Consider the following 25,772-nt stretch of genomic DNA (forward strand, 5'->3'; position numbering starts at 1 on the left):
GTGTGTGCAATAGAAGGGTTCCAAGACATGTAAAGGCAAGGGAGTTTTGACTGGCTAGTCCGCACCCTCTGATGGTAATCAAATAGCCCCTATCCTGTAATAGGGAAGGGGAGATTGGGCTACAGCCCCATCTAGAGGCTTGCCTGGGAATGGCTGGTTCCCTAGCTCCACAGAGGAATGGGAAGGTGAATAGAGCAACGTGGATCATTGAAGCCACAGAACGAGGAGGAAAGGCAAAGCCCTCCCACTAGCAGTCAGATTCCTCTTTATTCTGGGGTTAAAATGTTTCTATAGGAACATGCCTCCAATGTACAAAATGGAAATCTCTTGGAGAGCTTGTTAAAATGAAGACTCTAATATGGTAAGTCTGGTGGTGTGGGGATTCAGATTTCGGCATTTCTAACAAGCTCCCAGTTAAGGCCCATGCCACTGAGCAGTAAGGAGACAGAATAAGCAACAAATTGCTCTTGTTGCATTTGAGCCTACAACTGGACTCATTCTAACACAGGCCTAAATTCTCTGCAACACATTCTCAAGCTTCTAATATTCCTTTTGTAAATCTGGACTACTGCTAGGATTTATACGATCTCACTATTGTTGATTTCATTCTTCATGTAAGGGCTTGAGGCAATTCTCTCATCTCAAATGCTTTTTTTTCCCCAATTCATACCCAACAGGAAACATTAGTTTCCATTCTTGCTTTCATACGACTTCCTCTGGAGGGAACTCTGAAACAAGAAAACCATTCTAAAGAGTGGAAACGTTTGCAAGAAGCAACAATTCCTAAAAGAGGATCAAATCAATGGAAAGATATTTGGGGCAAGATTCTGAGGTTGCCAAGATCCCTTAACTTTTCTATCCTGTTCTTATCAACCAAAATAATATTTTCCTGGAGGACAAGGCTTTCAGGACCTTTGTACCAGAAATTACTGTCAAGTCCAGGTGTGTTGACTGAAGTTAACAAGGTTAAAAGTTTGGCTCTAACATTAGATCCACACTGCTTGACCTTGTGACATTAGCCAAATCAGTGCACAGCTTCCAGACTGCCTAAAGACCTCGCACCTGGAAAGTCCTTCCAGTTATTTTAGATGGTGGAGTGGGCAAGTGATGAATAGAAGAGTGTGGATTCAGAAGACGGGGCCGGGGCTAGGCAGAAAACAATGCCGGTTAAATGGCCAACTGGGGCACGCTCTACACTTTGAGCAGGAGCTGTCTCTGGAACTGTGAGGACATTCTTATTCTTACATGGACCAGGTCTTTGGATAGCTGGTTTGCTGAAGTGTAAGTTGGAAAATAATCACAAACCCAAACACTCAAAGAGGCCCGGAAGATGATGTCAACGAATGAGGCAAGATGGGTTTAAGACATCAGAAAGTAGCGAGTGCTGGGAAACTGAACACAGGAGTGCATGTCCTCTCCAAAGGGGCTGGCTGCATCTTACTGCCCATAAAATGGAGCCAAATCTTTGGAGTTTTAGAAAAATCTCCTGATTTTTTTTTTCAATGTAGCAAAAAGTTCAATTTTAAAAACACTGGGCATGACAAGTAAAATAGGCTTGGGGCCAGATTCGGCATCGGGCATGCTGGTTTGCATCTCTGCCCTGTCATTGTTCTTGCTTTCGGAAAGGAGTGTGCTAGTTACAGGCATAAGACAGTGACTCTAGTTCCCCTTCATGAAAGCAGGGAACAGCCACGATTTCACTCTCTCTACCTATAAAATGAGAGGTGACTAAATCTAAAATGGCGTTCAGTTGTAAAATTTTAGGATTCCAAGTAAATGAGATCATCTTGAACTTCCAGCTCCTCTGTGGTTTAGAGCTAGTAATACTAAGTACTATAGAATTTCACTATTTTTCTTTAGCAGGAAAAACACTAAGTAAAAGTTATATTCTATGAGCAATCCTCTACTTGTCCTCAGGCCAGAGGAAAATAACTAAATGTGCTACTTCTTTTCCTGAGCTTTGGAAACCACCACAGAAGAACATGCAGCTCTCCACAAGTAGCTACAGTTTATTCCAAGAATTGGTTTTAGATAAATAATCCAAGTTTGTGCAATATTTTTTGGCAAAAACAACCCAAGGTTCTACATATTGCACTGATTTACAATTCAGGAGAATAAATTTAATTTTATGACTTAATAGTCACCAATGAAAAATAAATTACCACTGAGCCATTACAAAGGTAAACAAAGGGTATATAATGGTCAAAAATACAGGAAAGAAGGGGAAAACAACAAAAAAAATTTTCTGTAAGCTAGGCTACTTGAAAGCTTTTGAAAATAAATCAAAAGCTATTATTTGTTTAGAAAAATACCACTAAACAAATATTTCTATTATCTGTTTAGAAAAATAATACCACTTATCCCCCGAGCAAGCAGAAAGCATGGTTTCAAATATCATTATAATCAAAGATTCCCAAAGCGACAACTGTAGCCCTACCCTAACTCTCTCCAATCCTTATTTTCAGCTCGTTGAAAGGCACATCTTAGAATTATTTCTATTCTTATGTTTCACAGCTATTCATGCACCCAGTCCTACCAGTTCCTCCCTTAATTTTTTAGAAAACATAAAGCTCAGAGTTTTACCAAAGAAGAGTCTTTTGGGGGCTCCTTCAAAACTCTTCTTAGTATTTTCAAAACAACCAAACTACCCTTTACCATTTTCTCATGACCAGAATATTGTAATGGCTGCTGGCTGCTCTCACCCAAGGCTCTCTTCATGCTAATATGTAAAAGCAGTTTAGCTCCTCGTCAGCAAGCAAGATTTTTCTATATATTGCTCAATCTGCTTAAGAACTCAGAGATGATATTGAGATGTTCTTTCCAAAAACTTAAATTTATCCTTCTGGTCTTCAAAATACTCCCCCAACTCAAATCTACTGAAATCCTTGCTTAATTCTGCCTCCACATGTTTCCCACAATTTACTCTGTGAATGGCACCTCTACAAATACATCTGACATCATGGCTACAGAGAGCTAGTGCCTGACAGTTTCACATGGGGTAACCTGCCTAGCACAGTGAGCTTACAATAGCTGGGTAAGTGTCAGCTCTTGTCAGTTTTTCTTTTTCACAACACAACAAGAGCTCCTCAGTGACAGAATCTTCATGAATGACTTCTTAGGAAAAAAGAAAATGGAGCCTAACAAGCTGCAGAGAGCCACACTACAGCTGTTCCTAGCATGTGGTCAACTACACTTTTACCATCATTATCATTCCTGAATTATACTGCGAGGCTTACCTCTCCATCCACATTCTGTAAACCATACTGCTCACAGATGGAGACCAGCTTCTTCCGGTTCAGGTGACCATCACGGGTGATCCCCAAATCTTCACAAACTTCTTGCAGTTTCTCTTCTATCCAGTCTTGGGGAGGGGAAGATCCACTCTGTGAAGCATTCAAGTCATCTGGGTTCCAAAACCTTAACTGGCCTGAGAGAGAAGCATATGTTGCACGGTTTCCAAAGGAATTGCAAAGAGAGAGTGCCTATTCTTAAAGAAAACTGTGCTTTTTGAAAATAAATACTGTAAGAAAAAGGCAATAAATGTCAATTCCATTTTGATTTGGTCCTGAAGCTCCCATGAAACAGAATCAATGGTTCTAAGGCTGCAACTAGAGTAAATGGGTACTTTTTGGCTCCCTGACAGTCATACCGGTGTAATAAATATAATCTCCTGTGCAATACTGCAAAGTTCTAGGCTTGTTTTATTTCAGCTGAGCACATCACAAGCTTAGGCTATAGTGATCATAGAGAAAGAAGGCTGGTTGAGGGCCATTATCGAGAACTCTGTAAGCTCTATCTCAACTATAGCTACCAGAATGTATTACCTCCACTTTCTTTCCAGCCTAAGTACTACAGCATCTTTTACTGAAAAGAAAATAATTTCATGATAAAAGTCTCAACATTAGCCTGTTCCCAAATCCTTACATATGAATATTCTGACATACAGAAACCAACAGTCCAACTGAAATTAAAAAAAAAAAATCAATGGTTGCAAGCTATAAGTTCCCAGTTATCTATACATTAAATTTCATTTGAAGACTTAAGGATCAAACTACTTATTTAAAAATCAAAACTTCTTATTTATTCTCTATTAAAAGCCCTCACTTCTAAATTTTGCTTTACACATTAGAGATTCTGTAAAGTCATTACTTAAACATGAGATAATTACTGGCACAATTTTGTGTGCTTGGAAGAACCTCAGAGGGTTGAAAGCAGTATTTAGTGCTACTCCCACTCTTTAGTGACAGGAATTAAGCCCATTACTGCTGTGGCGTTTCAACCTAGAGAACAGGTTGTAATTACACTTAAGTACAGTTAATCCACAGAGGGCTGTGAAGTGGGCTGAGGTTCTGTTAGCTGAACCACAGTGCCATCTGGTGGCCAGAGGATCAACGTGTTCTGATGCTTCTTAAATACATTTGAAACTTGTCAAGGGATGCATTTTTAAATTAATTAATTAATTTATATTGTTATTTTTATTTTTTGAGACAGAGTCTCTTCTGTTATCCAAGCAGGAGTGCAGTGGCACAATCACGGCTCACTACAGCCTCCAACTCTCGGGCTTAATGGATTCTCCCACCTCAGCCTTCTGAGTAGCTGGGACGACAGGCATGTGCTACCACACCTGGCTATTTTTAGTAGAGACGGGGTATGCCATGTTGCCCAGGCTGGTCATGAACTACTGCGTTCCAGTAATCCTCCTGCCTTGGCCTCCCAAAGTGCTGGGATTACAGGCGTGAGCCACTGTACCTGGCCAAGGGATGCACTTTAATAGGTCACTATTTAAGACTGTTAGAAAATTAATCTGAAAGTCTGTATAAGAGAGAAATTAGCCCGTAAGTAAAATTATATATCTTAGTTACCATCTCTTGCATGATACTAAATGCTAGGATTTTAAAACTAAAAGCTATCAATTGGGAATAAATTTTTTGTTGCTGTTGTTCTTAATGTTAATTCCCCTGGCCTGCAGCATAAGAGATCAGAAAGACCGGGTGTGGAGAGCACCCGGCGGCCCTTCCCTTCCAGGCACGTCCTGACACACTCGGCTCTTACCTTCCGCTTCATACTCCTCACTGCGTTGCGTCTTCCAGTGCTAGAGAAGGCAAGAGAAGATTAGTGTGCTTTAGAACTTATTCAGAAAGAACTATCCTAGCTTTTCCTAGAGCAGATCACTCTCTGGCTCTGAAATCATCATCTAAGTGAGTCACATAATTTCAGGACTCTCTAGTGTATCCATCTAGATGAGTTCTCTTCAGTTAACCAGCCAATCAGGACGAGACTCCTAAGAAACACCACACAGCCTTCTGCAGCATTTCACCAAGGATTTGTCCTCATTTGCTAGGTCACTTATTCAACAGCAAAACCTATCACAACCAATTAAACCCAGCCAAAGCAAATATCCAGTATCCATCAACCAACAAGTATCTGTACACATGCATTTATGAATTTATTCTTCAATAAATGTGTACTGAGTGCTTCTCTTTGTGCTAGGTACTGTGCTAGGTCTTGGTAATACAACCATGAACAACCATGAACAGGACAAACATATTTCCTGCCCCAAGAAGTTTATATGCTAATGAAGACATGCAGACAAGAAAACAGGAAATACAACAGGGTAGTATTTTAAGTGCTATGACAAGGAAGTTCAGGATGCTATGTTGCTATGCAGATGGGATACTTTAGACTTGTTAGATCGGGAAGAAGCAATGTCTAAACTGAGACCTGAAGGATAAACTGCAGAGAGCCAAATGAAAAGAAGGGGGCAGGCTGGGCACAGTGGCTTGCGCCTGTAATCCCAGCACTTTGGGAGGCCGAGGTGGGCGGATCACGAGGTCAGGAGATCGAGACCATCCTGGCCAACACAATGAAACCCCATCTCTACCAAAAATACAAAAAATTAGCCAGGCGAGGTGGCGGGTGCCTGTAGTCCCAGCTACTCGGGAGGCTGAGGCAGGAGAATGGCGTGAACCCGGGAGGCGGAGCTTGCAGTAAGCCGAGATCGCGCCACTGCACTCCAGCCTGGGCAACAGAGCGAGACTCCGTCTCAAAAAAAAAAAAAGAAAAGAAAAGAAGGGGGGCAGTTGTTATCTGCTGAAGCAAGGAGGCAAGAATGAGCCTAGTGTATCTGTGGCATAGTGAGGAGAGAGATGCAACTTAAAATAAGTAGGCTAGAGAAAGTATAAAATGTACATTACCAGTAAATTACATTAAAGGCAGTTCAATTTATCTGAATTGGACCATTTTGCCACCTTATCAGGCTTCATTACTCCTGCCTCTTCTCCAAAGTCACAGCATACAGTTGTAATTTGTGTACTGCATAAAAGTGCCCCGCTAAGAGCACAGGTCAGGACCGAAATCCAGCCCTTGCTCCACTGCCCGGGGATAGTACAGGTCGTCTTTTGACCAGTTGCAACAAGTAGGTCCACAGTGGCTGTGGCTTCCAGCAAATGGCTTTAGCCTCTCCAGCAAACTGCCTAAAACTAATCACTGTTATGGGGGGTTACTACAACCATCAAAGAAAACCCTGTTAGAAAAGGTGAATCGCCCTTTCCAAACGGGGCTGCTGTCATAGCAGTGATCCAGCTTTATGAATGAAGCTGCCTTTGATAACAAATAACCAGCACGTTTTCTGGGTAGCTGACCTGTACAAGACTAGTTGATTGCTTAGAATCCGAAAATAAACTCGACAGGAAAGTCAGCCTAATTAATACCTGTCTCTAGAACTTGGATTCCTCATGACAGATGGTATGGCACGTAAAATTTTTAGATGAAATGTTGTTTTTCAGTAGTTCATTCAAGTTAATACGAGTTGAAGTTCTTCTTTCAGGCAACCTACGCTCATCTACTTTATTCTCCACACTCACTAGTGGTAGTTCTCACCTCTTAAATGAGGGCCAACCACCTACCACAGTTTCACAGGTCCATGTTAGATATTTAAGATAGTATCAATTCAGAGAGTTCATTTAATTTGGCCATACCAAGCTGACAATGCTGAGATGGGTTGTTGCTGACAAATGGAAGACACCAAAAGGCCATAACTCAAAATGTTTAAGTTCACTACAATTCATGCAGATTACAATGGAAAGTCACTAATAAACATGGCATCAATGAAAAGTGAATTAGGACGTGTGATTTTTGCTTGTGATAACAATTTCATCAGCTCACTCAGCCTACATTTCTACATAAAGACGTCTCTCCAATCTAGTGGATGTCTGAGGCATGGTGGGGATGGGGAGCAAGTGGTAAAGTCAACAGTCCTTCATAAATTTTCTTACATTCTCATTTCTGGTCAGAATTGTTTTCACATAAGAAATTTTAAATCAACAAAACCATCCTGCCTGTCTGTCCCTCCACATTTATTTTCCTGTTCAACAGAGCAGACAATTTAAATGCTCATACTACTTCGGCATCCAAAATTATGAAAATTCATTATTTAGCATACCAGTTGGAAACACCCCAGAACTAAATCCACTAATTCCACCTATGACAAATAAAATAGGGTTTTATGGTCTCAGAACCATTGGTAGAAACCTACCAAATCTCAAGCAGGGGATGATTTCTAACAGCAGAAATGAATGGGAGAAATGGCAGGAGAATATGTTATCACTGGCCCCAAACCATAAAGAGAGTCCCAGTTGGAATATACAGCTGTAAAAATGCAACACACACACCTTCAAAAAATCCTCGTCATTACTAAAGCACTGGCTCATTTACTTCTCAGTTCATTTGAAAATAGTGAGCACAGAATTCAAAGAAGCAAGATGCTCCAATATACTGTTTCCAACATCTTATGAGTCTATGAGACTGGGTGCCTATGTCTGATTCACTCTCTGGGACAGTACTTCCCTGCTGCCTTCTTCCCTGGATTCTTACTCCTAACTAATAAAGGATCGAGTATGGAGGCCACTGCATAGACTTAGGAGGCAGAGTGCCTGGTGCTGAATCATGGCTTCCCTACCAGGTTGGCCTTAGGCAAGCTTCTGACGACTTCTGCCTCAGGTTCTCTGCCTATAAAATGGGAACAAGGTAGTGCATATTTCATGGAGTTATGGTAAAGTGCTTAGAATTGTGCCTGGCACATAGTAAGCTCTACACAATTTTGTTATTTTTATTGGACATATGTTTACATGATACATGTGGAATTTATTTTAATTTCCATATTTAAACTTAAAGCATTCAATTGGGTAGACCTGGGGAGGTATCTGTTATGGATATACATTTGTAAGAAAAATGCCAAGTCTTCCCAGCAGAGAAGGAAGAAACACAGACAATTCACATAAGAAGCAACATAATTAAAAAAAAAAAACCAAAAACAAAAAAACATGGGGGAAGGTTCATCTCAACAGCAATCAAAGAAGGATTAAAACCAAGAAGTCATTTTGTTCCTATTAAATTAGCAAAGTATTTAAGATATAACTTCTACTACCATCAAGGTTATGATTTAAAATAGGCCCGTTTATATGTTATGGGTAGCACTGTAAATGATTATTACTTTTAGTAATGTAAATGGCTTTATGTATCAAAAGCAATAAAAATGTTCATACTTTTTGATCCAATAATTTCACTTGGTATTCAAAGACAATAAAATCAAGGAGGAAGAAAAGCCATATGTGTAAATATGTACATGATAGCACTTTTTGCAACAAGAAAGTATTGAAAACAATTTAAATATTCAACAATCGAGCATAAAGTATAATGATACATTATAATGCAGTCATTAAAAGTATAATTAAAAAACCATGTAGGAACGTGGAAAAACATCTTATGAAATGTTAAATGAAAGACCATTACAAAAATGCTATCTATCCTATGATTACCACCAGCAAAAATATTTATACAATTAGACAAAGGCTGGAAGGAAATAGAGATAATAAAAACAGATGCATATTGGTTGAAGGACTATGGGAAACAATTTTCTTTTATTATTTTACTGTTATAAATGTTGTTTATGCAACAGAAATAGGTACAACTCTCACTATTTATTTGCCCACTAAATTCTCACTAAATTTATTTCCTGTGACTTGGGGGTGGGATAAAGGGAAGCTCCCTCCTTTTGGTAAATATTGCTCTGCAGCATCTCCCCCATATTATGACAGATGAGGCGGTTTGGTGGGAAGCCCAGGTGCTGCTCAGGCTGGTGAATGTTGGATGCCAATGCCTCCTAAAGTGGCAAGATCAGAGACACTCGACTGAGATCTGCCTTGTGGACTGAGACCATCTCAAACAGACATTCTTGAGACAGTCCAACCCAAAAGCGTCGTCAGATACGGCACAGCCTTCGAAAGCCCAGGCAGCATCCTCATCTTCGATGATTTCACACAAAATCTTAAGGCAAGTGGGGGTGGGGGTTAGGGGAGAAGGATAGTTTAAACATGGTTTTTGTTTGTTTCTACTTTTAAGACGGAGTCTCACTCTGTTCTGCAGCCTCAACCTCCCACGCTCAGGTGATCCTCCGGCCCTCCCCGCTGACCCACCTACAGATGCCTGCTACCACGCCCGGCTCATTTTTGTATTTTTTTTTTTTTGTAGAGATGGGGTTTTGCCATGTTGCCCAGGCTGGTCTCAAATTCCTGGGCTCAAGTGATCCACCCACCTCGGCCTCCCAAAGTGTTGGGATTACAAGTGTTAGCCACTGCACCCAGCCAGTTTAAACATGTTTTAAAGTCTTCTGGGAGTAGCAGTATCCCAAGAATTCCCCCTAGGACCCTTTGTAAGAAACACAGATCCAGCCAGGACCACCCTGTTAAAAGGAGAAGCAGGCTTATGCTAATGGCTACATTTTCATTCCAAGACCACCTCAGTTAGAGATGGGGCTTACCACACAGATAGGAGGTATTCTGTGCTTCCTTCTACCTAGTCTCCACCAAGGTTCTGTTCCCTTAATAAGAGGGAGAAAAGCACAGGGTGGCTGAGCATTTGTTATTAAATTGCTATTTCAGGGGGGTGGGTGGGGGAAGATTCAATTCATTCACAGCTCATTTATTTTCATTCTCACTGCCTGGAGCCAGTAGTTCCAATTAAAAAGCAGGGAGAGAAGGAGGGGAAGGCAGGTTAGAAGGCTAGGGGGATTAAATCATTCAGTTACTGGAACGCCACCAGTAAAGGGAGGCATCATTCTGGAAAAGGGTCCTTTAATTGCTGATGACTTACCCAGCACAGTGGAAGCCTGGCAGGTGGCCTGTAGACACAGATCTGCCATGAGCACTAGAAGGACGATTATCACAAAAATCTTTGGAAAAGTAGGGGGGAAAGCGAGGAACAATGGCTGAGATGTGTTCACAAGACTGAATTCATGAGATAAGATTTATTTCTTCCCTTGAAATATACGTAACCTCTCATTGGAGAAAGAATGGATATTAATAAACATAAAACTCATCCTGTGGGACTTCAGATTCTCCCTACTCTGGAGGCACAGTTGTAGACAGATAACTGTAGAACACTGTCTGGGTTGTTTGGCTCTGCCACTTTCTGTGACCCCTCAGTACCTTACAACGTGAGGAGGACACTCCAGTGCACCCAAAGGGACATGGAGTCATATGCTTGGCACTTAGGAAACCTTAGCTATTGTTATTATTTCAGTCAGAAAAATGATGTGGTTAGGGGTTTAGACTGCAGAACCATACTCGAGTTCAATTTCCGCTCTACTACTTACTCGTGGTGTGACCTTGGCCAAGTTACTTACCCTCTGTGTGCCTCAGTTTCCTCATGAGTACATGAATAACAACACGTACCTCTGATGGTGTGCTTCACATTTGGAAAGCACTTACAACAGTGCCCATTAAGTGCCAAGCATTTGTTAATAAATATTACAATGACTATTCTTACTACTTGGATGTGTAAAACTAGAACAAGGGCAGAAAAAACAGCAGACAGACTAGTGCCAGCTTTAAAGAACAAACCCAGAAGAGACTCTCTTTAAAATCTACAGCCTTGATATGTTAATTGGCTTGATTTAGTTATTTCACAATGTATCCATATATCAAAACATCATGTTGTACACTGTAAACGTACATAACTTTTGTAATTATACCTTAATAAAGCTAAGGAAATCCCCAGAACTACAGCTATGAGCATGATGATTGTGATGAAGCAGTGAACTTCCAATTCAACTTAGGATCAGGGCTTCCCCTGGGGCCCCTCCCTGCAGACAGTGTCCCCTAGGCAGCCACGGCTCGCAGAGGCTGCCTTGTCCTTCCTCATTACTATGCCAGTGTACTGGCCAACAGCCCCATTGAGAGTAGGCAGAGGGGAGAAGGTCAGAGGTTGTCCGGCCCCAAAATGGCTGCTCACAAGACAGTCCCCAACCCCTCAGGCAGACAAAAGGAGTCCCCCCAAACCCACTCTGTGGGCCGTGCATCTCAATGTCATGCTGGCCATTGTAGCCAGCTCTTGAGTTGTCCTACAGCTGGACAAGGGTGCCCTGCACACAGCGGCTGCACAGGCGGCACCGATTTCTGGAATGCTTTCTTTGGAGGGACACCTGCTTTGCTGGACTGCAGAGCAGATGGCCAGAGCCTCCTGGATCTCCAGCTTCCAGCCCCAACGCCGGGCCAGCATCTGCAGCCTGTGGTCCTGGTGTGGCCCCTGCCCACAATAGCCCAGCCGCCACCCCCACCAGCCATCTGCTCCAGCGCAGACCTTTGCGCCCCGCAGAATGTACGGCTAATTAAAACCATTATGGGGGCAGACACCGGGGCATTCTTACCCAGCAGAGGTTGCTGAGCTGATCTCAGCAGCCTCAGAGCCTGGAGTAGAGTTGTGGTTTTTTGTTTTTGTTTTTGTTTTTTGGAAAGGAAAAAGCCCTGTAAACCCAGAGAGAAGAGGAAGGAAATGTACTAGAGTAACATAGCTCCCCAAACAAACTGAGCTGTAGTGTGCATTTAGAAGAGCAGCACATGTAGCTAAGCACAGGAAGTCTCTGAAAACACCAGAAATCAGTTTAAGGAGAGTGCTCATGAAAGAAACTTTAAGACTTTTAAAAAATACAGCATCTATGGCGTATTTCACTAACAGTCCTAAGTATTTATAAAGCCTGTGCTCTGAGCTGGGTAGTGGAAGCTGAGTGCGCCCGGCAGGGCTGGCTATTGTTTCTGCAGGGACACACTTCCTGGGACTGTGGTTCATTTTCCACTATGCCACCTTTGAAGGCAAAGGCAATGGAGAGCCTGACAGCCCAGCTCCCAGTCTCTCCATTCTGAACTCCCGGACAAGCTCCTAAGGCCAGGGTTGTCACGACCAGAATGCAAATCAGTGCCTTTATCTTTAAAGGCAATTAAGTGCTACAAGTGCATGCGGGGGATGACAGGAATTAACACGATTTTTAAACGCACACACATTTAGATGAGACCTGCTACACTGAAGGCTAAAAAAGCCTTTGGTACTGCTGGTCCAAGGAAATGCTGAATTTAAGAGTTTGGGCCTTAAGCCTCTTCTCCTACCAAGGCTGGGGACTAGTTTTGGTTCACTGGATTTTAAAGTCCTTAAAGGAAAGAGATTTTAAAAAATACCTTTCCTGCTCCTCAGAGCTGCTAAGTAACGAATACTACTTTTCTGTTGGAAAATATTTAATGATATGTAGGACAGAAAATGTTACTGTCATCATGAACATTAATTCTTGACTTCTTGTCTGTTTTAGTTTCTAGTTAGAAGATAAATATTAGAAATTGTTGATCTGGAAGGAGGTGGGGGTGGGGTCTGGTCTCCAAGACAATTCCCGCTGGGATCAAGTCAGGAAGGCTCACCAGGACACTAAAGCCTAAAAGTATGTGTCAGAAAAAGAGACATTTTATAAGCTTTGAAGGAGCTTCTTTCTATCACTTTCAAGTGATCTACAATTGCATCTTTAATGAATGTTTCATCTCTGGGAATAGCCGGATGATCTGATAAGACTTAAGACAATGAAGGAAAAGAATGGAATTCCATTAAAAAAAAAAAAGTCCATCCTGAAGACATCATAGCCTTTGGTAGAATAAATGGCATCAGCAATAAAACTGTTTGCTTTGTCAAAGACTGGAACAGAAAATTTAACAAGGGAGTAACAGGAAAATAGGTGCATTTCAGCTACAAAAGATCTTAGCAGAACTTCTCTTGGTTATTAAGTTTACTCCAGAATTAAATATTGACTCTGTACGATGTAAATGAATAATTCATAAACTGCAAAGTTATGCATACATGAAAATGAACATAAGGGAAAAGATAAGTCAGTTTCACACTTCTTGAAGAAGTTTCATTTTATGTAGGGTAGTAAAATCAGTTTGTCTTTTTTTAAGCTTTTTAACAACCACCTCCCCATCCTCCTACCCTCATAGTCCCAACACAAAGACTGGATTTGCTTGTAGTGCAGTAATCAGCTTTAACTTTTCTCTCAGGTCCTCACTTAAACCACACTGTGCAAGCCAATGGTTTTGGCTTACACTACTATTGTCTACAGTTGGAAAAATGACTGTATAACACCCCTTGCTGTTGATAAGAATCTTACTAGACCCGATTTATTCCCTGTGGAGGAAAACAGTTAACAAGGTGTACCCTGTTTTCAACCAGGGCAGAAAGCAAAGTGGTCCTGCCCCAATTGTATTAATTGCACAACCTTTTCTACCAGGCCTGAGTAATCGAGAACAGAATTGAGAATTAGTTTAGTTTAGTTTTGTTTTCCCTGCCACCTGCCCTCAGAAGAAACATGAGCATAAAATTCAAGGTCAGTTCAGTAGCTATTAATATTCAAGGGAAAAAATGTACTCTTCTTACTCTCACTTGTTTCTTAACAAAGTAAAGCAAAAACAGTGACAACCAAAATCTTCTCATTAATCACACCTTAGGTTGGAATCAAGAAGGTGCCCTTTGTTAGTCTGGATTAATTCAGAATAGAAATGGCCAACTGAATTGACTTGAGCGAAAATGATCCCATAAAAAAAGAAAAATCACCACTTTCTTTTCAATATCACCCAAGATGAGAGGTCAGACTCCCAAGGGATCCAACTGCCAAATAAACACATGAAATTGGAAGTCAAACACTCATGGTAGCCTCATGGTGGGACCTACCTGTCACTTATGAATTAGCACATTCTGCTTCGGGATTTCCAAGTGAAATTCTGAAATGTGTATTTTGGTGCTGAAAATTTAGCTAGGTTACAGTAGCCTTTCCCTACAGAGTAGCTTTATTGCCTTGTAATCTAAATTTGGTAGAAGAGACATGCTTAGTAGCTAGGTTATATATTTTCTGTTTCAGCAGGAAAGAATCAAAGTGTCTGATAGAAGCATGGGGTGGGGGAAGGGATTTCCATCTGATAAGACTTAAGACAATAAAGGAAAAGACTGGAATTCTGTTAAAAAAAAAAGTCTATCCTGAAGACATCATAGATGTAAACATGTAAACATGTAAAATGTTTACAATTTATGTTGGGGCTTTAACATGTACGAACTAAAGCAAAAGTAAAATATGATCAAAAGCAATTCATAACAAGATTTCTTTTCATACATTCTACCCAGGAGAGGAGGCCAAGGTGGCAGATCATTTGCTACCCCCTAGTGCCAACATAGGCTCTCCCACCCGTGCCACCATATCACAGTGGGCACTATGAATAGGCACCAGATGAGCTCCAAGTCGCTTGTAAGTAATGAAGCCTGAAGCTTCACAGTGGACTTACATTAAATATAAATTTAGTTGCTTCAAAGCAATCTCCATAATAGCCTCCCTCTCACATGCCTGTGTTTCTAGATGTTTTCTTGAGTGGGAGATGAAGGGTGGAGTTGTAAGTAGACTGCAGTGAATGATTCTCAGTAATCACTGAGGATGACCCATAATTTGGGTTATGCTTATGGGCAATAGGAGAAGGCCCTCCAAATAAGGATGCAGAGAAAACTGTGAACCACTAACCCAAGAGCCTAGGAATGAATTCTGGCTGACCTGTAGCAACCTCCCCTACTATGAAATCACCTTAGAGGGCAAAAGAGGAGAAATTATTATTTTATCTTTTCAGATGACTGTCTGCTCACTAATCCCTATAGGATGAGTTCCTAGAAGCCAGCCCCCTTGGGGACAGTTTTTATAGGAGTTGTGACACTGTTCCATTCCACTGCCCACTCCTCCACAATCCTCAGAAAAATAAAATTATTATTTGATGCAACCTAGAGCTAAAATTAGTCTTCTGTTGAGTAGCAACAGTCAGATTTCCCTCCCTTTAACTTCGGATGATGGGTTTAGGCCCTTTTATTGTCTTCATCACAAAAAGAAAAAGTCATTTGAGGAAAAATCAGGCATGTCTGAGAGCAGGGGAAACTGAAGTCCAAAAAGGTGAGCTGAGAATCCCTCCTTTCCCTAAGCTGGGATCCAGAAGTCAAAGGAAAACTGCAATCAAAACAAAGAAGACCTGGCTCCAGATCCCCATCTTATTACTCCTTATGAAATAGTCACATCAGGGGAGACTCGGCCCCAGTCCCTCTTTCCACATTGCCTGGTAGCCCCGAGATTAAGTATGAGCCCAAGGAATAAATTCCCAACATCCCCAAAGAGAGGAGACAGAAGGGCTTCCAGCAACCAAAAGGGAGAAAAAAGCGGCCAGCAGTACAATAAAGAACTGTCAGAGGCCGGGAGCGGTGGCTCACGCCTGTAATCCCAGCACTTTGGGAGGCCGAGGCAGGTGGATCATGAGGTCAGGAATTCAAGACCAGCCTGGCCAAGATGGTGAAACCCCGTCTCTACTAGAAATACAAAAATTAGCCAGGCATGGTGGCATGTGCCTGTAACCCAGCCAGTAGGGAGGCTGAGGTGGAGAATTGCTTGAACCTGGGAGGCGGAGCTTCCAACGAGCCGAGGTTGCGCCACTGCACTCCAGCCTGGGCGACAGAGCGAGACTCCATCTCAAGAAAACAAAACAAAACAAAACAAACAAACAAAAAACAAGATCTGTCAGATTCAGAATTCATTATAAGAGGAAGAAATCAATCCCACACGTCATTGAGAATTTTTTTTCCTTCCCACACTCTGCAGCTGGGGGCCACTCTAGAACAGGCAAGATCACTGGGTCTCCTAAGAGACCTGCACAGCTTCTGTAGAAGGGACAGAGGTTTCCAGAGCAAGCTTGTGCTGCCCATTGCATGAACTTCTATAGGCCAACAGAATGGCCCTCAACTGCTAAGCCTAATATGGAAACTGACCAGAAACAGGAATGCTGTCTTGCCATAACAGTAAGTAACAAGACTGATGCATTGACAAGGCTGTACCACAAGATTCCTGCATACACAGGTGTGAAGGCAGTGAGTGTGACCCATAACCACAGCTGCTGTGCAAAGCTGGGCTTTGCCTTTTTTAACCGCCAACAGGAACATCGAAAATGTCTTGTGTGAAGCTATTACTTTTTTTTTGGAGACAAGGTCTTGCTCTGTCACCCAGGCTGGAGTGCAGTGGCACGATCTCGGCTCACTGCAACCTCTGTCTCTTGGGTTCAAGCAATCCTTCCACCTCAGCCTCCCCAGTAGCTGGGACCAAAGGGCATGCACCACCATGCTCAGTTAATTTTTTTGAGTTTCGTAGAAACAAGGTCTCATTATGTTGCCCGGGCTGGTCTTGAACTCCTGGGCTCAAGTGATCCTCCTGCCTTGGCCTCCCAAAGTGCTGGGAGGCATGAGCCACCATGCCCAGCACTGAAACTTAATTTTTTAAAGAGATGAAGTGATTTGAAAACTGACAGGCACAATTCAGCTTACAAAACACTTTCTTTTTAGGCAAGAAAGCAGTTGGATGAGCTTTGGTGTGAGTCCACTTTTGGTAATTAAAAAAGGTGTGGTACAAAGGTGTTATCTTGTATTCCTACAGGCATTGCTCTGGTGTGGGATATAACAGAATAGCGAAGTTGAGTCAGTTGGAGTCCTCGCTGAGAACAGAAATCCAGAGAAATGACCCTCTCCGGGCCTCTATTTGCAGTTCTGCTGATGGAGGGTGGTGAATGCTACAGCTTCTGTGTATAGCATCAAGAGGTCATATCTAAGAGGTTTCTGGAGGAGTTAAGGGAAGTTGTAAGTACATCAAGGGTGAAATGATACTCCCAAAATACCATTTTACTGAGACATAAGCCACAAGATTTTGCCCAGGCTCAGGCCTCAACTCTTATCTTTATTTATACATGAAATCAAAGTCTCACTTTAAAAATAGTAAATCTCCCTGGGCACCAGTAGATAACATATAACAAGGATATAAGAAACATGTTGCCAGCAACAAAGTCAGCTCTGCCCAACAGCTTTCTGCGTATTCCTAGATGAGGACTAGAAACTCATGTCAAAAAAAAAGTAAGCATTTACTTTCTTAGTACCAAATAATACCCTGGGGACTGAAATAGTTGGGGAAATGAGTTATTAAACTTAAAAGTGTTTTCCAAATAACAAAAACTTACCTGCTCAAGTACTGAGACATTTAACCATTTTTTTCATAAAGAAGTACATTCCACACCACTCAGGGTTATAGAACAGACTTTATGATACCCTTCCTGACAATAAGAAAACTATTACGAACACTGTACTAACTGAAGTATGTAAATTACTTGCATCCCTGAGATTGTATATGTAAAATTTTTGTGCATATGAGTATATGTGTTTTACTGGGGAAAGACCCCTATCTCAATTCGCAAAGAGACCCAAGAAAGGAGAAGGACTCCTGAAACTGTTCTCAGCTTTTTCTGCTTTTGGCTTTTTCTATTTTCAGCTGTCACTTCTCATCCACACTACTCTTATACCACTTTTGTGGGTTTTTTTTTTCTCTCTTCTCTCTTTTAGTTGCTTTTCTCCCTCTCTTCTCAATAACATTTCTGCCACTGCTGCTTCACTTGTGGTGAAGGACAAGTGTCATTTGTTTTTTTAAAAAAAAATGATGCAGACCCCGATCAGCAGACTGGTCATGTGTCCTTATAAATTTCCGTATTTATTGCCAACACTTGGGCTCAACACTTGGGCTCTTTTTTGTTATTTTTGGATTTTGGGGTATTCTGGAAAGTTGAGGAGGACACTGGATGTCTGATTGCTGGGGCCATTATTGGGAGCAAGCTTCCTGTAGATTTCAGTAAGCTGAACATGGATGTTAGACCACAATGAACACACAGGTGCACGCGCACACACACACACACACACACACACACACACAGAGTCCACTGGCAATCTACAGACCACTTTCAGAAAGTTGAGGCGCTTTGTTTCTTTTCCAATTTATATTAGTATCTGAAATATCTGTAGCCCCAGTCTGAGCTGGGATTTGCAAGAAATATTTACAGCTTGCTCAGCATGGCATTTTCAATCATGTTCTATAAATGGGATGCTGGTAAATGAGCCATAAAGAAAGAATAAAGAAAATGTTACTGAACCTCCTTTATTGGTAGATTATGGCAATATGCAAAATGAAAAGATGGGGGATGAGGGAGGCTGGCGACTCTCCACATGCTGGAGAACGAGACAGGCCTGGGTGCAAGGAATCCAGCAGAAAGAACCATGGCAACTGCTGGGCACTGGAAAGCACCCCAGGCTCAGTATCTTGAGGCAAAAACCAAGTGTTCGAGCTGCTTTATCACACTACAAAAGATAAGATGCAGGCTTTCAAAATGCCTGAACGCGTTGCTTTCATTTCCTGCTACAGATGCTGTTTTATAGTTTGGGGCAAGGGAGGGGGAGGAGCTGGTTCGCCTTTTAAATAACTAAAAATGATCATGCTATAGAGGAGAGAGATATTCAAGAACTAGAAGTGGGAGACCTCAGATGATGTGGAAATACCTGAACTCTAAATGTGTACATGACGCATGCACAGAAATGTCAGCTCTCCAAAAGCTGAAACGAGGTAAAAACATTCAAAAGATAGAAACATTATATATGTCCAAAAGGCAAGTAATAAGATTAGCAAGGAGTTGGTAACTGAGAAAAGCCCACATCGTGCCATCAACCCCCTCAGCTCCCCTGTCTCTGTGCTGCACTGACGTGGGGCTCCACACTCATGATCCAGATGAACGTGCATGCCCGATTCCTTACCTCACTGCAGTCACCGGCTGGGATGTGTGAAGGCCGCGCTTCTTCATCCAGTGGCTCAATCACCGTCACTTCAGGAAACTCCTCCACGGACTCTTGGAACTCGGGCAAGGACCTTCGTCCGTAACGCTTCCCACCTCTAACATATTTGGGCTGAGCTTCTAGTGAGCAGTCTGAGAGAGGAGACAAGAGTTGAGGCCACATGACATGAGAATCTCAGTTCTTAGCTGCCACTCACAGCCATCGGACACAGCCTCTTATACCAACCTCAAAATAAACCACCACTGTTTGCCAATTGTGGTGGCTGTGGGTGTATATGAGCCATCAGGTCAGATGCAGAGCACGCCTTCTAATTCTGAACGATTTATGGGACCGTGAGTATATATCTGCACATGACGGGAGCAATCCAACAATGGCAGCAAGGGATCTGACTTAATTGCAGAGGATTAAGGTCAGGAAAAGGTGAGGGGTCACATTTGTTCTGTTTATTAAGCTGGGTTTTCCAGCAGGATGGGGAGACATCATATTAACAAAGAGACACCTTGGAGGAAGTCTTAGAAAATGGTAATACAACAGACACCAAATCAGCACTGTATACTCAGTATCCACATCAATTAGTCTGAAACACCCTCCCCTACCTCAGTGATTCCTCTGTTAACCATTCCACTCTCTGATCTATCAGACAAGCAGATGACAAAACAAAGAAACGGACACAACACATTCTAAGCAATTAATGACAGCTAGTTACGTATATGAAACCCGGCATCAAGATCTCATTGTAAAATTAAAAACAGTAAAATAAAATAGCAAATGTGAAACCACAGTAAAAAAAATTGTATTATTTTATCTCTTTGTAAGCATCGGTGTTGTACAAAATAAAAAGGAATGTGCATGAGGTGAGAGTCATCTCTTGATCTTAAAGAAGGACTTCAGCATTTTGACATCACTTGTCTCAGGTTCAACACTGACCACCTTCCCCGTTACCATCACCACCACTGCTGCCATCACCACTGCCATCACCACCACCACCACCACCTCCACCGCCACAACTACAGGCTAAGCTTTTTCTACAATTGGAGCTTTAAAGCAATAAAATAAATACTTCACTCTATTCAAATGTTATCTCAGCTATAGATTTTTTAGCACCTTGTACAGCATCAGAATAAAATGTTTCATTAAAGTACAAAAGATGACAATGCTTTGATTTCTGTTGTCTTGCTGTCCACATATTCATACTCTCTCGAGAACAGATATGTATTCTGTTTGAACATGAGTCTTAGCAAGGTATGTCTGAACTCAGACATGTAGACTTTTAAATGAGATTATGTACACGTATTATAAAAACGACAATAGTTGATTAGATAAGAACTAAAAGAACGACCGTTCCTTTATCACCATTGAAACCATGCTGGGGTTTAGCCATTACTTTACAGTTTCCCAGGGAGGACTGGCGACCCTCTTTGACTAAACACCTCCCCGCCATGTCCTTCCCTCTGGGACAAGCTCGGATTTCACTATCTTCACAAATGTGGCCAGACACATTCTGAACATGCTCAGCAAAGCTCAGAGTGAAGTATTTATGGTAGCTATATAATTTCTAGTGATATTTATATCCAGCTTTAAAAAAGTCCCAGTGAAGTCATTTTATTAGGTCGAGTGATTCTCTTACAGGAAGTGTTTAAGCATACAAAATTTATACTGAAAATTGCATGCATATTTGAAGGTACCTTTTATCAGAAGACAGTGTGTCAGCTTGTGACCATTCAGGAGCGGCCCAGACACCCGAGCTACTTGTTGGCAGCTGACACCCACAGATGCTAGTCAGATAAGAGGCAATGCAGAACCATCCTTAATTTATTACATATTCTTAAATTTTGGTGGCAGACAACAAGATACACCATTAGTGACTATAGGGGTTTGGAAAAGATTAAAAGGAACACTTAGAACCTTGGATAATGAACCACAGTATTTTCCCAGTATAAGAACAAAGTTGTGTCCTGGGGATGGAAGTGGCGAAGGAGCTCTTATTGCATGCTGCACTTATTCAGAGGTTAAAAAAAAAAAAAAAAAAAGCAGTGGGAGAAAACAACTATCTTTTAAAAATCCATTGTGATCTAATCCCAAACCTACCGGTGGATGAAATGGTTCCCTGGTTGTTTACTACTCACTACCCCACGTAGTGCATAGGGTAGATGCAGTGGTGGATTCAAAACAGCTCTTTTTCTAAGCAATAAAAGGTAACAGATTGTGAGCCAGCAGGGACCCTGTGGAGTTTTGGTTTATTTACTCATTTATTTTTGCATTGCCAGGCATTAAATTGTTTATTTCATTATCTTATTATAATAACCAATTTAAGCAAACTTTAAGTTAATATCCTTCATAGAACGTACGAACATGATAAAGTCAATTTCTAGAGACATCTATTAAACTATGTAACCTTTTTGGAATAAAGACATTAGCACACACAAAGAAAAATGGGTTAAAGTTTTCTCATCACTTTATTTTCCAAACCATGCAAGTGACCAATAACGAAGTGGACTAATCACACCATTTAAAAATAGTCACCTCTAAGAATGACACACTCAGACATCCCTCTCCCATTTAGAGCATCCGCCTCATTGCACTTAACATGATACGATGGGAACAGAGACAGCAAAGCTAACGATGTTCAGAGAGAACATTCACGGTCAACAGCCCTTGCTAGGTTAAGCGCTGAAAACACTATGATTCTCCTCATCAATCTCAATCAGAGATTTAGAACTGAACAGCAGATGTCCACCGAACCATGGGGATTATAAGACACTCTTACCCACTCAAGTTAAAGAATGCCTTGACCCTTTCTGACCATGCCTAATGGAAGAGATCCAAAACTGCAACCCTGGGGCTACGTTTATTTACTTTCTGAGCACATCCAGATGGAACCTTTATTTTTCAGGGTGTCATTCTGGAATAATCTTATCTATGTCAGATAACATGGAGGCTTTTGGTTTATTAAGAAACGAAATTATTGACATCACAGAGCTTCCACAGGTGAGAGTATCTGCTCCAATCACCAGCTCCAAGAAGGGACATGAAATGCCTGGCCAATATGGCGAAACCTGGACTCTATTAAATACAAAAATTAGCCAGGCGTGGCGGCTCGTGACTGTAGTCCCAGAAACTTGGGAGGCTGAGGCAGGAGAATCGGTTGAACCTAGGAGGCAGAGGCTGCAGTGAGCCGAGACTGCGCCACTGCACTCCAGCCTGGGCAACAGGGCAAGACTCCATCTCAAAAACAGAAACGAAACAAAACAAAAAGAAATGCTATCAAAACAAAGTATAAATGACTGCCATGCTTTCAGTGTTTCAGTGTTTGAGTTCCTTGAAAGTGTATTTATGATTCTCCCTGGATTGTTAAGCTTCTGAGTCATTTTTCCTTCTTTCCCATTTTCCATTTCTCCTATTTGGCATCACTACAAAAATTAAAGTGGGCTTCAAAGGAAAGCAGACAAGCCCAGCTTGCCTGGAGGTGTCTCAGACCCCATCCCTGGAAAGCTTATTATGAGACACACCAATCAGAGGAAGGTGGCTTTGAGGCAGTCCAACCTGACCTAGTTTAATGATCTAGGTTTTATTCCATAAGCCAAATGCTTGGTTATGAGCAGGGGACAGTAGAGAAACCTTGCTTCAACCCTCCACTGGAGTAATGTGGAAGTGAGTGACAGTCTCTACAGAGCACGTGGGGAAAACATCTGATTCGAGAGTTAAAAAGATGAAGAAAATACTATGCCTTCGGGCCTTAGAAATGACAGCTGGGTTGCTCACACGCCACATTTGTTATTTCACATCTCATCTGTCCCAAGAAGAGAAACTCCAGAGCTTCGATAATGTTCCCCTTCCAAATCAGGATAAACCACCATGCACATGTATGATGCTTGACCAGAGGTCTTGCACTCATAATAAAAAGAAAGTTAAAATATGGTGTCAGGGAGAATGACCACTCAGAGTAGATAAGCCAGCTGCAGCCAGGGGAAATAACAAACACCCGCCTCATTCCTCTCCCAGTTCCTTTCCCAGCAGCAGTGTGGAGGGGAGAAACACAGCCTCCCCTACTCCAGGTTTCAAGCAATACAGAGTACACTTTTTAAAGCTCTCCCCTAAAACTGACCACTGCACCAGATCACCACATCTGCATCAGATGTGATACAGGTCACTGCTTAAAATGCTCAGCTCTCCTAAAACCACTGCATGAACAGCCAAAGCCAAAGCAATGAGGACCTAAGGGAAGCTAAAATCATTATGCAAAAGCCTGAACACTATATATTCAATTGAATGCTTTCTTTGCAAAAACATAAGCTCAGGACCTGGAATGGAGTGGCAGCCATAGCTGCTTCCTGGAAGTTAAAGGAGATTTTTCAAAGATGCTCCCCAGTGTTAGGCAGATTCATTTAACACATAAGCGTATTTACCAAACACCTGCCATAGGCAAAACATTACGTTGTACCTATTGAGGAAGAAGATGGATATTTTAACTTGTTTTTTGAATCAAAAAATTCCCTGTTCCCAAAAATGACCTGAGGCCATTTCCAAGGATGAAGAAGAAAACCCTGTCGTTAGGGTGCTGGTATTCTCATTTTGGAATTGCTCGCATAGGACTTTGCTTTCTATGTCCCTTCCTGACTCATTTAGTGAGCCTGGGAAATCATTCCCAGAGACACCACCCCCATCCAAAGAACCTCAGCACAGGAGGCCCTTCATGTTACATTGCTGCTGAGCTCACAGGAATGCTGAAATCCGTTTGAAAAGGAAAGGTAAAAAATGAAGCATGTGCAAACCTCAAGGCCAGCATCCCCAAGAAGCTTTCTTGGGAAAAGGCAGTCATGCAGCAAATGAGCCCCACCCTGCCCCATTCTACATCCCACCTCCTCGCCTATGCTGAATGCACCATCACACAGGGATTACACAGTGAAAATGCAAACCCACGCCTGATTCTAAATAAGAGAAGGGAAGAAAATCCAAAGGAACACTAAGACCAAGAAAAATACAGACAGAGACCAGTGGAAACTGACACAGAGAGACAGATATGGAGAGAGAATGAGACAGAGACTGAGACCAAGAGAGGGAAAGAAGTGGGTGGGGAAACAGGAGATAATAGGGACCTAGAGGCCTATGGAGGGGTGGGGAAGGGGAGCAAGAGATATAGATGTGGGAAGACCACCAGGAAGGGAAAGAGTGGAGTGGGAGACTGAGGAGGAGGAGGGGAGAGATGAGCTGGGGTGGAGGAAAGAAGGGAGTTGGGAGGGGAACGTCTCAAGGATGGGAAGGGAGAAGGGGAGGCCAAGAAAGGTTAAACATTAAAAAGGCATCAGCAGAAGCTTTCTGACATGATCTGCCTTTCCTTTTGCTTCCCAGTGCACTCCCTGCCTCTAGGGCCATCACCAGCAAGCAGCCGCACCACACTTCTGTGTGCACTAAGCCCTTTCCAATTAGCACCTCCCTCCCCAACTACTTCTCTCTCCTGGAACCTCCACACAAGATGCAGATGTTTAATTAGGTCTTTCAGTTCCTCCCTGAATGCAGTGACAGAATCTTAGGCGCAGTCTCCACCCAGTTCTTAGCCACCTGAATGATGCTTCTTGCTGGAACACAGGGGCTTCTGGACACAAAAGTAACAGGGTGGCTTTGATTAGCCTTGCCCAGGAGGAAGGCTTCCAGGGGAAAGTTACCACCCCCCGAAGGTGCCTAAGCTGGTGGATGAGTGTGGCAAGGCAAGCCCCAGGGCTGACTGGATGGTCTAAGTCCTAATGCAATTGAAGATCAGTCAACAGGAATAAAATCTTTGAGTTGATAATGATTATATAATTGTTTCCCCAACCTTTTCATAGGAGGATCAACCAGCAGATCTCTGTTAGGATGCCTGCATCTATAGCCATTTTTGGGAAGAAGGATGAGATACACTTTTTACCTAATTGAACCCTCCCCATTGTTCAAGGGGAACTCAAAACTCATTTCTTTCAAGTAATTTCTTGGCACCACTTTCATGGAACCGTTTCTCCTCTACATTTAGTGTGATGCACACTGTCCATAGCTCCCTATTTATTTATTTATTTGAGACGGAGTCTCGCTCTATTGCCAGGCTAGAGTGCAGTGGCACAATCTCAGCTCACTGCAAACTCCACCTCCCAGGTTCAAGCGATTCTCCTGCCTCAGCCTCCCAAGTAGCTGGGACTATAGGCACGTGCCACCACACCCAGCTAATTTTTATATTTTTAGTAGAGACGGGGTTTCACCACGTTGGCCAGATGGTCTTGATCTTTTGACCTCGTGACCCATCTGCCTCGGCCTCCCAAAGTGCTGGGATATGGCTCCCAATTTCATAATAACCATAGTCACATTTTTCTAAAAGCATTTTACACGTTAGGATTACCTACCCGGATAGACTATAACACTTTCCATGGGAAAGAGCTGTGCTTTGGAATCAAACGGACCTGGACCTGGACACAGAGTTCATATCAAGGTTGGGAGTGCCGAACCTCATGAAGACTTAGTTTCCTCATCTGGAAGGAGGGAAAACAATAGGCGCTTCATGGAGTAAGGTCAACATCAGTCTAGCAGCTCTGCCCAGGGAGCTCCAGCCACACTCTGGTCCTTCCACCGGGACTCCTGTGAAGCCAGTGGTGGCCCAAAGCCATCGGGCCAGGGAGAGGTGTCCAGCATCAAGCAACCATGGGAGCAGTCAGCAAGAGTCTCTCAGTCCTCAATCCTGAAGAGTTCCTCAACCTCAATTTTTGGTAACA

The 25,772-nt window shown here is 42.3% G+C and overlaps 1 protein-coding gene across 31 annotated transcripts in view, besides 6 other annotated features; it reads right to left on the reverse strand.

The window, feature by feature from the left end:
* The window catches only part of NIN (ninein), a 111,741-nt gene that overhangs the window by 53,950 nt on the left and 32,019 nt on the right, over nucleotides 1–25,772 (reverse strand). For 18 of the 31 annotated variants that reach the window (XM_047431452.1, XM_047431439.1, XM_047431453.1 and 15 more), the window contains 3 exons: nucleotides 19,000–19,169; nucleotides 5,053–5,092; nucleotides 3,237–3,427 (listed from right to left, as the gene is read on the reverse strand). Coding sequence is in view for 26 of the 31 variants with exons in the window: in XM_047431442.1 (XP_047287398.1) it covers nucleotides 3,237–3,427; nucleotides 5,053–5,092; nucleotides 19,000–19,169 (401 nt within the window). In the remaining 5 variants the exon portion in view is untranslated. Of the gene's footprint in view, nucleotides 1–3,236; nucleotides 3,428–5,052; nucleotides 5,093–18,999; nucleotides 19,170–20,723; nucleotides 20,814–25,772 lie in introns of all 31 variants that reach the window. The other 13 variants (XM_047431450.1, XM_047431441.1, XM_047431431.1 and 10 more) reach the window with 1 other exon arrangement.
* Nucleotides 15,838–15,887: an enhancer, noted in NCBI's record as "active region_8364". NCBI's record gives its function as "activates an Ori minimal core promoter by ATAC-STARR-seq in GM12878 lymphoblastoid cells {active_cell/tissue: GM12878}" and the evidence as "EXISTENCE:reporter gene assay evidence [ECO:0000049][PMID:35858748]".
* Nucleotides 15,928–15,977: an enhancer, noted in NCBI's record as "active region_8365". NCBI's record gives its function as "activates an Ori minimal core promoter by ATAC-STARR-seq in GM12878 lymphoblastoid cells {active_cell/tissue: GM12878}" and the evidence as "EXISTENCE:reporter gene assay evidence [ECO:0000049][PMID:35858748]".
* Nucleotides 16,308–16,417: an enhancer, noted in NCBI's record as "active region_8366". NCBI's record gives its function as "activates an Ori minimal core promoter by ATAC-STARR-seq in GM12878 lymphoblastoid cells {active_cell/tissue: GM12878}" and the evidence as "EXISTENCE:reporter gene assay evidence [ECO:0000049][PMID:35858748]".
* Nucleotides 16,858–16,997: an enhancer, noted in NCBI's record as "active region_8367". NCBI's record gives its function as "activates an Ori minimal core promoter by ATAC-STARR-seq in GM12878 lymphoblastoid cells {active_cell/tissue: GM12878}" and the evidence as "EXISTENCE:reporter gene assay evidence [ECO:0000049][PMID:35858748]".
* Nucleotides 17,562–17,621: a silencer, noted in NCBI's record as "silent region_5727". NCBI's record gives its function as "represses an Ori minimal core promoter by ATAC-STARR-seq in GM12878 lymphoblastoid cells {active_cell/tissue: GM12878}" and the evidence as "EXISTENCE:reporter gene assay evidence [ECO:0000049][PMID:35858748]".
* Nucleotides 18,364–18,413: an enhancer, noted in NCBI's record as "active region_8368". NCBI's record gives its function as "activates an Ori minimal core promoter by ATAC-STARR-seq in GM12878 lymphoblastoid cells {active_cell/tissue: GM12878}" and the evidence as "EXISTENCE:reporter gene assay evidence [ECO:0000049][PMID:35858748]".

Source organism: Homo sapiens, chromosome 14, assembly GCF_000001405.40.
Source record: "Homo sapiens chromosome 14, GRCh38.p14 Primary Assembly".
In the NCBI taxonomy this organism is placed as follows: Eukaryota; Metazoa; Chordata; class Mammalia; order Primates; family Hominidae; genus Homo; species Homo sapiens.